Source organism: Homo sapiens, chromosome 3 (assembly GCF_000001405.40).
Source record: "Homo sapiens chromosome 3, GRCh38.p14 Primary Assembly".
Classification (NCBI taxonomy): domain Eukaryota; kingdom Metazoa; phylum Chordata; class Mammalia; order Primates; family Hominidae; genus Homo; species Homo sapiens.
In genome coordinates, this window is record NC_000003.12 from 90,997,808 (window position 1) to 91,009,912 (window position 12,105).

The 12,105-nt window shown below is 37.8% G+C and overlaps 1 annotated feature.

The window, feature by feature from the left end:
* Positions 1-12,105: part of a centromere (Linear centromere model derived predominantly from reads generated in PMID: 17803354. This region does not represent an actual centromere sequence, as long-range ordering of repeats and unmapped WGS contigs is not provided by the model. For details of model production, see http://arxiv.org/abs/1307.0035.) that runs on past both edges of the window.

Below are 12,105 nucleotides of genomic sequence, written 5' to 3' on the forward strand. Positions count from 1 at the left end.
CCTTTCAATAGAGCACTTTTGAAGCTCAGTTTTGGTAGAATTTCCAGGTGGATATTTAGCGCCGTTTGAGGCCTATGGTAGAAAAGGCAATATCTTCGTAGGAGAACTAGACAGAATGATTCTCAGAAGCTACTTTGTGATGTGTGGGTTCAACTCACTGAGTTTAACCTTTCTTTTGATAGACCAGTTATGAAACACTCTTTTTGTGGAATCTGCTAGTAAATTTTTGGACTTTTTTGAGGCCTTCATTGGAAACGGGGTTTCTTCATATAAACCTTGACAGAAGAATTCTCAGAAACTTCTCTGTGATGTGTGCGTTTACCTCTCAGAGTTCAACCTTCCTTTTGATAGAAGAGTGTTGAAATATTCTTTTTGCAGAATTTCCAAGTGAATATTTAGAGCGGTCTCAGGCCTATGTAGAAGAGAAACTATCTTCACGGAAAAACTAGACATAATTGTTCTCTGAAGCTACTCTGTGATGTGCGCATTCAGCTGACAGAGTTTAACCTTTCTTTGGATAGAGCGGTTTTAAACACTCCTTTTGTGGAATTTGCAGTTCTATATTTAGAGTGCTTTGAGGCCTGTGGTACAAAAGGGAATGTCTTCACATAAAATCTAGACAGAAGCATTGTCGGAAACGACTTGGTGATACCTGCCTTCAACTCTCAGGGTTGAATATTCCTCTTGATGGAGCAGTTTTGAAAAACTCTTTTTGTTGAATCTCCAAGTGGGTATTTGTACCTCTTTGTGGCCTTCGTTTGAAACGTGACTGCTTCATACAAAAGTAGACACAAGAATTCTCATAAACTTCTTGGTGATGTGTGCTTTCAACTCGCAGCGTTGAAGCTTCCTTTCGATAGAGCAGTTTAGTAACTCTCTTTTTGTAGAATTTCCAAGTGGATATTTAGCGCCGTTTGAGGCCTATGGTGAAAAAGGCAATATCTTCATAGAAAAACTAGACAGAATGATTCTCAGAAACTACTTTGTGATGTGTGCCTTCAACTCACAGTGTTTAACCTTCCTCTTGGTAGAGCAGTTTTGAAAAACTCTTTTTGTAGAATCTGCAAGTGTATATTGGGACTTTTCTGAGGCCATCTTTGGAAACGGGATTTCTTCATATAAAACTTGAAAGAAGAATCCTCAGAAAATTATTTGTGATATGTGCATTTAACTCATGGAGTTGAGACTTCCTTTCGATAGAAGAGTTTTGAAATACTCTTTTTGTAGAATTTCCAAGTGGATTTTTACAGCGGTTTGAGGTCTATGGCAGAAAAAGAAATATCTTCACAGAAAAACTAGGCAGATTCATTCTCCGAAGCTGTTTTGTGATGCTTGCATTAAGCTGACAGAGTTTAAACTTCCTTTGATAGAGCAGTTTGGAAACACTCTTTTTGTGGAATTTGCAAGTGTATATTTAGAGCGTTTTGAGGCCTACAGTAGGAAAGGAAATATCTTCACATAAAAGCTAGACAGAAGTATTGTCAGAAAATTATTTGTGATATTTGCATTCAACGCACAGAGTTGAACATTCCTCTTGATGGAGCAGATTTGAAACCCTCTTTTTGCAGAATCTGCAGCTGGATATTTGGACCTCTTTGTGGCCTTCGTTTGAAACGTGATTTCTGCATTTACAACTAGACAGAAGAATTCTCAGAAACTTCTTTGTGATGTGTACTTTCAACTCACAGAGTTGAAGCTTCCTTTCAATAGAGCACTTTTGAAACTCAGTTTCTGTAGAATTTCCAGGTGGATATTTAGCGCCGTTTGAGGCCTATGGTGGAAAAGGCAATATCTTCGTAGAAAAACTAGACAGAATGATTCTCAGAAGCTACTTTGTGATGTGTGAGCTCAACTCACTGAGTTTAACCTTTCTTTTGATAGACCAGTTATGAAACACTCTTTCTGTGGAACTTGCAAGTAAATATTTGGACTTTTTTAGGCCTTCATTGGAAACGGGGTTTCTTCATATAAACCTTGACAGAAGAATTCCCAGAAACTTCTCTGTGGTGTGTGCATTTAACTCTCAGAGTTCAACCTTCCTTTTGATAGAAGAGTGTTATAGTATTCTTTCTGTAGAATTTCCAAGTGAATATTTAGAGCGGTTTCAGGCCTATGTAGAAGAGAAACTATCTTCACAGAAAAACTAGACATAATTGTTCTCTGATGCTACTTTGTGATGTGTGCATTCAGCTTACAGAGTTTAACCTTTCTTTGGATAGAGCGGTTTTAAACACTCTTTTTGTGGAATTTGCAGTTCTATATTTAGAGTGCTTTCAGGCCTGTGGTACAAAAGGGAATGTCCTCACATAAAATCTAGACAGAAGCATTGTCGGGAACTACTTTGTGATACCTGCCTTCAACTCTCAGAGTTGAATATACCTCTTGATGGAGCAGTTTTGTAAAACTCTTTTTGTTGAATCTCCAAGTGGATATTTGGACCTCTTTGTGGCCTTCGTTTGAAACGTGACTGCTTCATACAAAAGTAGACAGAAGAATTCTCATATACTTCTTCGTGATGCGTGCTTTCAACTCACAGAGTTGAAGCTTCCTTTCGATAGAGCAGTCTTGTAACTCTCTTTTTGTAGAATTTCCAAGTGGATATTTAGCGCCGTTTGAGGCCTATGGTGGAAAAGGCGATATCTTCCTAGAAAAACTAGACAGAATGATTCTCAGAAACTACTGTGTGATGTGTGCCTTCAACTCACAGAGTTTAACCTTTCTTTTGATAGAGCAGTTTTGAAAAACTCTTTTTGTAGAATCTGCATGTGTATATTGGGACTTTTCTGAGGCCATCTTTGGAAACGGGATTTCTTCATATAAAACTTGAAAGAAGAATCCTCAGAAAATTATTTGTGATATGTGCATTTAACTCATGGAGCTGAAACTTCCTTTCGATAGAAGAGCTTTGAAATACTCTTTTTGTAGAATTTCCTAGTGGATTTTTACAGCGGTTTGAGGTCTATGGCAGAAAAAGAAATATCTTCACAGAAAAACTAGGCAGATTCATTCTCCGAAGCTGTTTTGTGATGCTTGCATTAAGCGGACAGAGTTTAAACTTCCTTTGAGAGAGCAGTTTGGAAACACTCTTTTTGTGGAATTTGCAAGTGTATATTTAGAGCGTTTTGAGGCCTACAGTAGGAAAGGAAATATCTTCACATAAAAACTACACAGAAGTATTGTCAGAAACTTCTTTGTGGTATTTGCATTCAACGCACAGAGTTGAACATTCCTCTTGATGGAGCAGTTTTGAAACCCTCTTTTTGCAGAATCTGCAGGTGGATATTTGGACCTCCTTTGTGGCCTTCGTTTGAAGCGTGATTTCTTCATTTACAACTAGACAGAAGAATTCTCAGAAACTTCTTTGTGATGTGTACCTTCAACCCACAGAGGTGAAGCTTCCTTTCAATAGAGCACTTTTGAAACTCAGTTTTGGTAGAATTTCCAGGTGGATATTTAGCGCCGTTTGAGGCCTATGGTAGAAAAGGCAATATCTTCGTAGGAGAACTAGACAGAATGATTCTCAGAAGCTACTTTGTGATGTGTGGGTTCAACTCACTGAGTTTAACCTTTCTTTTGATAGACCAGTTATGAAACACTCTTTTTGTGGAATCTGCAAGTAAATATTTGGACTGTTTTGAGGCCTTCATTGGAAACGGGGTTTCTTCATATAAACCTTGACAGAAGAATTCTCAGAAACTTCTCTGTGATGTGTGTGTTTACCTCTCAGAGTTCAACCTTCCTTTTGATAGAAGAGTGTTGAAATATTCTTTTTGCAGAATTTCCAAGTGAATATTTAGAGCGGTCTCAGGCCTATGTAGAAGAGAAACTATCTTCACGGAAAAACTAGACATAATTGTTCTCTGAAGCTACTCTGTGATGTGCGCATTCAGCTGACAGAGTTTAACCTTTCTTAGGATAGAGCGGTTTTAAACCCTCTTTTTGTGGAATTTGCAATTCTGTATTTAGAGTGCTTTCAGGCCTGTGGTACAAAAGGGAATGTCTTCACATAAAATCTAGACAGAAGCATTGTCGGGAACTTCTTTGGGATACCTGCCTTCAACTCTCAGAGTTGAATATTCCTCTTGATGGAGCAGTTTTGAAAAACTCTTTTTGTTGAATCTCCAAGTTGATATTTGGACCTCATTGTGGCCTTCGTTTGAAACGTGACTGCTTCATACAAAAGTAGACAGAAGAATTCTCATAAACTTCTTCGTGATGTGTGCTTTCAACTCGCAGCGTTGAAGGTTCCTTTCGATAGAGCAGTTTAGTAACTCTCTTTTTGTAGAATTTCCAAGTGGATATTTAGCGCCGCTTGAGGCCTATGATGAAAAAGGCAATATCTTCATAGAAAAACTAGACAGAATGATTCTCAGAAACTACTTTGTGATGTGTGCCTTCAACTCACAGAGTTTAACCTTCCTTTTGGTAGAGCAGTTTTGAAAAACGCTTTTTGTAGAATCTGCAAGTGTATATTGGGACTTTTCTGAGGCCATCTTTGGAAACGGGATTTCTTCATATAAAACTTGAAAGAAGAATCCTCAGAAAATTATTTGTGATATGTGCATTTAACTGATGGAGCTGAAACTTCCTTTCGATAGAAGAGCTTTGAAATACTCTTTTTGTAGAATTTCCAAGTGGATTTTTACAGCGGTTTGAGGTCTATGGCAGAAAAAGAAATATCTTCACAGAAAAATTAGGCAGATTCATTCTCCGAAGCTGTTTTGTGATGCTTGCATTAAGCGTACAGAGTTTAAACTTCCTTTGATAGAGCAGTTTTGAAACACTCTTTTTGTGGAATTTGCAAGTGTATATTTAGAGCGTTTTGAGGCCTACAGTAGGAAAGGAAATATCTTCACATAAAAACTAGACAGAAGTATTGTCAGAAACTTATTTGTGATATTTGCATTCAACGCACAGAGTTGAACATTCCTCTTGATGGAGCAGTTTGGAAACACTCTTTTTGTAGAATCTGCAGGTGGATATTTGGACCTCTTTGTGGCCTTCGTTTGAAACGTGATTTCTTCATTTACAACTAGACAGAAGAATTCTCAGAAACTTCTTTGTGATGTGTACCTTCAACCCACAGAGGTGAAGCTTCCTTTCAATAGAGCACTTTTGAAACTCAGTTTTGGTAGAATTTCCAGGTGGATATTTAGCGCCGTTTGAGGCCTATTGTAGAAAAGGCAATATCTTCGTAGGAGAACTAGACAGAATGATTCTCAGAAACAACTTTGTGATGTGTGCATTCAACTCACGGAGTTTAACCTTTCTTTTGATAGACCAGTTATGAAACACTCTTTTTGTAGAATCTGCAAGTAAATATTTGGACTTTTCTGAGGCCTTCATTGGAAACGGGATCTCTTCATATAAACCTTGACAGAAGAATTCTCAGAAACTTCTCTGTGATGTGTGCGTTTAACTCTCAGAGTTCAACCTTCCTTTTGATAGAAGAGTGTTGAAATATTCTTTTTGCAGAATTTCCAAGTGAATATTTAGAGCGGTCTCAGGCCTATGTGGAAGAGAAACTATCTTCACGGAAAAACTAGACATAATTGTTCTCTGAAGCTACTTTGTGATGGGCGCCTTCAGCTGACAGACTTTAACCTTTCTTTGGATAGAGCGGTTTTAAACCCTCTTTTTGTGGAATTTGCAATTCTATATTTAGAGTGCTTTCAGGCCTGTGGTACAAAAGGGAATGTCTTCACATAAAATCTAGACAGAAGCATTGTCGGAAACTACTTTGGGATACCTGCCTTCAACACTCAGAGTTGAATATTCCTCTTGATAGAGCAGTTTTGAAAAACTCTTTTTGTTGAATCTCCAAGTGGATATTTGGACCTCTTTGTGGCCTTCGTTTGAAACGTGACTGCTTCATACAAAAGTAGACAGAAGAATTCTCATAAACTTCTTCGTGATGTGTGCTTTCCACTCGCAGAGTGGAAGCTTCCTTTCGATAGAGCAGTCTTGTAACTCTCTTTTTGTAGAATTTCCAAGTGGATATTTAGCGCCGTTTGAGGCCTATGGTGGAGAAGGCGATATCTTCATAGAAAAACTAGACAGAATGATTCTCAGAAACTACTCTGTGATGTGTGCCTTCAACTCACAGAGTTTAACCTTCCTTTTGATAGAGCAGTTTTGAAAAACTCTTTTTGTAGAATCTGCAAGTGTATATTGGGACTTTTCTGAGGCCATCTTTGGAAACGGGATTTCTTCATATAAAACTTGAAAGAAGAATCCACAAAAAATTATTAGTGATATGTGCATTTAACTCATGGAGTTCAGACTTCCTTTCGATAGAAGAGTTTTGAAATACTCTTTTTGTAGAATTTCCAAGTGGATTTTTACAGCGGTTTGAGGTCTATGGCAGAAAATGGAATATCTTCACAGAAAAACCAGGCAGATTCATTCTCCGAAGCTGTTTTGTGATGCTTGCATTAAGCTGACAGAGTTTAAACTTCCTTTGATAGAGCAGTTTGGAAACACTCTTTTTGTGGAATTTGCAAGTGTATATTTAGAGCGTTTTGAGGCCTACAGTAGGAAAGGAAATATCTTCACATAAAAACTAGACAGAAGTATTGTCAGAAACTTATTTGTGATATTTGCATTCAACGCACGGAGTTGAACATTCCTCTTGATGGAGCCGTTTTGAAGCACTCTTTTTGTGGAATCTGCAAGTGGATATTTGGACCTCTTTGTGGCCTTCGTGTGAAACGTGATTTCTTCATTTACAACTAGACAGAAGAATTCTCAGAAACTTCTTTGTCATGTGTACTTTCAACTCACAGAGTTGAAGCTTCCTTTCAATAGAGCACTTTTGAAACTCAGTTTCTGTAGAATTTCCAGGTGGATATTTAGCGCCGTTTGAGGCCTATGGTGGAAAAGGCAATATCTTCGTAGAAAAACTAGACAGAATGATTCTCAGAAACAACTTTGTGATGTGTGCGTTCAACTCACGGAGTTTAACCTTTCTTTTGATAGACCAGTCATGAAACACTCTTTTTGTAGAATCTGCAAGTAAATATTTGGACTTTTTTGAGGCCTTCATTGGAAACGGGATCTCCTCATATAAACCTTGACAGAAGAATTCCCAGAAACTTCTTTGTGATGTGTGCATTGAACTCTCAGAGTTCAACCTTCCTTTTGATAGAAGAGTGTTGAAATATTCTTTTTATAGAATTTCCAAGTGAATATTTAGAGCGGTTTCAGGCCTATGTAGAAGAGAAAATATCTTCACAGAGAAACTAGAAATAATTGTTCTCTGAAGCTACTTTGTGATGGGCGCCTTCAGCTGACAGTGTTTAACCTTTCTTTGGATAGAGCGGTTTTAAACACTCTTTCTTTGGAATTTGCAATTCTATATTTAGAGTGCTTTCAGGCCTGTGGTACAAAAGGGAATGTCTTCACATAAAATCTAGACAGAAGTATTGTCAGAAACTTATTTGTGATATTTGCATTCAACGCACCGAGTTGAACATTCCTCTTGATGGAGCAGTTTTGAAAAACTCTTTTTGTTGAATCTCCAAGTGGATATTTGGACCTCTTTGTGGCCTTCGTTTGAAACGTGACTGCTTCATACAAAAGTAGACAGAAGAATTCTCATAAACGTCTTCGTGATGTGTGCTTTCAACTCGCAGCGTTGAAGCTTCCTTTCGACAGAGCAGTTTAGTAACTCTCTTTTTGTAGAATTTCCAAGTGGATATTTAGCGCCGTTTGAGGCCTATGGTGGAAAAGGCAATATCTTCATAGAAAAACTAGACAGAATGATTCTCAGAAACTACTCTGTGATGTGTGCCTGCAACTCACAGAGTTTAACCTTTCTTTTGATAGAGCAGTTTTGAAAAACTCTTTTTGTAGAATCTGCAAGTGTATATTGGGACTTTTCTGAGGCCAACTTTGGGAACGGGATTTCTTCATATAAAACTTGAAAGAAGAATCCTCAGAAAATTATTTGTGATATGTGCATTTAACTCATGGAGCTGAAACTTCCTTTCGATAGAAGAGTTTTGAAATACTCTTTTTGTAGAATTTCCAAGTGGATTTTTACAGCGGTTTGAGGTCTATGGCAGAAAAAGAAATATCTTCACAGAAAAACTAGGCAGATTCATTCTCCGAAGCTGTTTTGTGATGCTTGCATTAAGCGGACAGAGTTTAAACTTTCTTTGATAGAGCAGTTTGGAAACACTGTTTTTGTGGAATTTGCAAGTGTATATTTAGAGCGTTTTGAGGCCTACAGTAGGAAAGGAAATATCTTCACATAAAAACTACACAGAAGTATTGTCAGAAACTTACTTGTGATATTTGCATTCAACGCACAGAGTTGAACATTCCTCTTGATGGAGCAGTTTTGAAACACTCTTTTTGCAGAATCTGCAGGTGGATATTTGGACCTCTTTGTGGCCTTCGTTTGAAACGTGATTTCTTCATTTACAACTAGACAGAAGAATTCTCAGAAACTTCTTTGTCATGTGTACTTTCAACTCACAGAGTTGAAGCTTCCTTTCAATAGAGCACTTTTGAAACTCAGTTTCTGTAGAATTTCCAGGTGGATATTTAGCGCCGTTTGAGGCCTATGGTGGAAAAGGCAATATCTTCGTAGAAAAACTAGACAGAATGATTCTCAGAAGCTACTTTGTGATGTGTGGGTTCAACTCACTGAGTTTAACCTTTCTTTTGATAGACCAGTTATGAAACACTCTTTTTGTGGAATCTGCTAGTAAATTTTTGGACTTTTTTGAGGCCTTCATTGGAAACGGGGTTTCTTCTTATAAACCTTGACAGAAGAATTCTCAGAAACTTCTCTGTGATGTGTGCGTTTAACTCTCAGAGTTCAACCTTCCTTTTGATAGAAGAGTGTTGAAATATTCTTTTTGCAGAATTTCCAAGTGAATATTTAGAGCGGTCTCAGGCCTATGTGGAAGAGAAACTATCTTCATGGAAAAACTAGACATAATTGTTCTCTGAAGCTACTCTGTGATGTGCGCATTCAGCTGACAGAGTTTAACCTTTCTTAGGATAGAGCGGTTTTAAAACCTCTTTTTGTGGAATTTGCAATTCTGTATTTAGAGTGCTTTCAGGCCTGTGGTACAAAAGGGAATGTCTTCACATAAAATCTAGACAGAAGCATTGTCGGGAACTACTATGTGATACCAGCCTTCAACTCGCAGAGTTGAATATTCCTCTTGACGGAGCAGTTTTGAAAAACTCTTTTTGTTGAATCTCCAAGTGGATATTTGGACCTCTTTGTGGCCTTCGTTTGAAACGTGACTGCTTCATACAAAAGTAGACAGAAGAATTCTCATAAACTTCTTCGTGATGTGTGCTTTCAACTCGCAGCCTTGAAGCTTCCTTTCGATAGAGCAGTTTAGTAACTCTCTTTTTGTAGAATTTCCAAGTGGATATTTAGCGCCGTTTGAGGCCTATGGTGGAAAAGGCAATATCTTCATAGAAAAACTAGACAGAATGATTCTCAGAAACTACTTTGTGATGTGTGCCTTCAACTCACAGAGTTTAACCTTTCTTTTGATAGAGCAGTTTTGAAAAACTCTTTTTGTAGAATCTGCAAGTGTATATTGGGACTTTTCTGAGGCCATCTTTGGAAACGGGATTTCTTCAGATAAAACTTGAAAGAAGAATCCTCAGAAAATTATTTTTGATATGTGCATTTAACTCATGGAGTTGAAACTTCCTTTCGACAGAAGAGTTTTGAAATACTCTTTTTGTAGAATTTCCAAGTGGATTTTCACTGCGGTTTGAGGTCTATGGCAGAAAAAGAAATATCTTCACAGAAAAACTAGGCAGATTCATTCTCCGAAGCTGTTTTGTGATGCTTGCATTCAGCTTACAGAGTTTAAACTTCCTTTGATAGAGCAGTTTTGAAACCCTCTTTTTGTGGAATTTGCAAGTGTCTCTTTAGAGCGTTTTGAGGCCTACAGTAGGAAAGGAAATATCTTCACATAAAAACTAGACAGAAGTATTGTCAGAAACTTATTTGTGATATTTGCATTCAACGCACAGAGTTGAACATTCCTCCTGATGGAGCCGTTTTGAAACACACTTTTTGTAGAATCTGCAAGTGGATATTTGGACCTCTTTGTGGCCTTCGTGTGAAACGTGATTTCTTCATTGACAACTAGACAGAAGAATTCTCAGAAACTTCTTTGTGATGTGTACCTTCAACTCACACAGGTGAGGCTTCCTTTCACTAGAGCACTTTTGAAACTCAGTTTTGGTAGAATTTCCAGGTGGATATTTTGCGCCGTTTGAGGCCTATGGTAGAAAAGGCAATATCTTCGTAGGAGAACTAGACAGAATGATTCTCAGAAGCTACTTTGTGATGTGTGGGTTCAACTCACTGAGTTTAACCTTTCTTTTGATAGACCAGTTATGAAACACTCTTTTTGTGGAATCGGCAAGTAAATATTTGGACTTTTTGGAGGCCTTCTTTGGAAACGGGGTTTCTTCATATAAACCTTGACAGAAGAATTCTCAGAAACTTCTCTGTGATGTGTGCGCTTAACTCTCAGAGTTCAACCTTCCTTTTGATAGAAGAGTGTTGAAATATTCTTTTTGTAGAATTTCCAAGTGAATATTTAGAGCGGTTTCAGGCCTATGTAGAAGAGAATCTATCTTCACAGAAAAACTAGACATAATTGTTCTCTGAAGCTGCACTGTGATGTGCGCATTCAGCTGACAGAGTTTAACCTTTCTTTGGATAGAGCGGTTTTGAACCCTCTTTTTGTGGAATTTGCAATTCTATATTTAGAGTGCTTTCAGGCCTGTGGTACAAAAGGGAATGTCTTCACATAAAATCTAGACAGAAGCATTGCCGGGAACTACTTTGTGATACCTGCCTTCAACTCTCAGAGTTGAATATTCCTCTTGACGGAGCAGTTTTGAAAAACTCTTTTTGTTGAATCTCCAAGTGGATATTTGGACCTCTTTGTGACCTTCGTTTGAAACGTGACAGCTTCATACAAAAGTAGACAGAAGAATTCTCATCAACTTCTTCGCGATGTGTGCTTTCAACTCGCAGAGTTGCAGCTTCCTTTCGATAGAGCAGTTTTGTAACTCTCTTTTTGTAGAATTTCCAAGAGGATATTTAGCGCCGTTTGAGGCCTATGGTGGAAAAGGCAATATCTTCATAGAAAAACTAGACAGAATGATTCTCAAAAACTACTTTGTGATGTGTGCCTTCAACTCACAGAGTTTAACCTTCCTTTTGGTAGAGCAGTTTTGAGAAACTCTTTTTGTAGAATCTGCAAGTGTATATTGGGACTTTTCTGAGGCCATCTTTGGAAACGGGATTTCTTCATATAAAACTTGAAAGAAGAATCCTCAGAAAATTATTTGTGATATGTGCATTTAACTCATGGAGTTGAGACTTCCTTTCGATAGAAGAGTTTTGAAATACTCTTTTTGTAGAATTTCCAAGTGGATTTTTACAGCGCTTTGAGGTCTATGGCAGAAAAAGAAATATCTTCACAGAAAAACTAGGCAGATTCATTCTCCGAAGCTGTTTTGTGATGCTTGCATTCAGCTGACAGAGTTTAAACTTCTTTTGATAGAGCAGTTTGGAAACACTCTTTTTGTGGAATTTGCAAGTGTATATTTAGAGCGTTTTGAGGCCTACAGTAGGAAAGGAAATATCTTCACCTAAAAAATAGACAGAAGTATTGTCAGAAACTTATTTGTGATATTTGCATTCAACACACGGAGTTGAACATTCCTCTTGATGGAGCCGTTTTGAAGCACTCTTTTTGTGGAATCTGCAAGTGGATATTTGGACCTCTTTGTTGCCTTCGTGTGAAACGTGATTTCTTCATTTACAACTAGACAGAAGAATTCTCAGAAACTTCTTTGTGATGTGTACTTTCAACTCACAGAGTTGAAGCTTCCTTTCAATAGAGCACTTTTGAAACTCAGTTTCTGTAGAATTTCCAGGTGGATATTTAGCGCCGTTTGAGGCCTATGGTGGAAAAGGCAATATCTTCGTAGAAAAACTAGACAGAATGATTCTCAGAAGCTACTTTGTGATGTGTGGGTTCAACTCACTGAGTTTAACCTTTCTTTTGATAGACCAGTTATGAAACACTCTTTCTGTGGAAT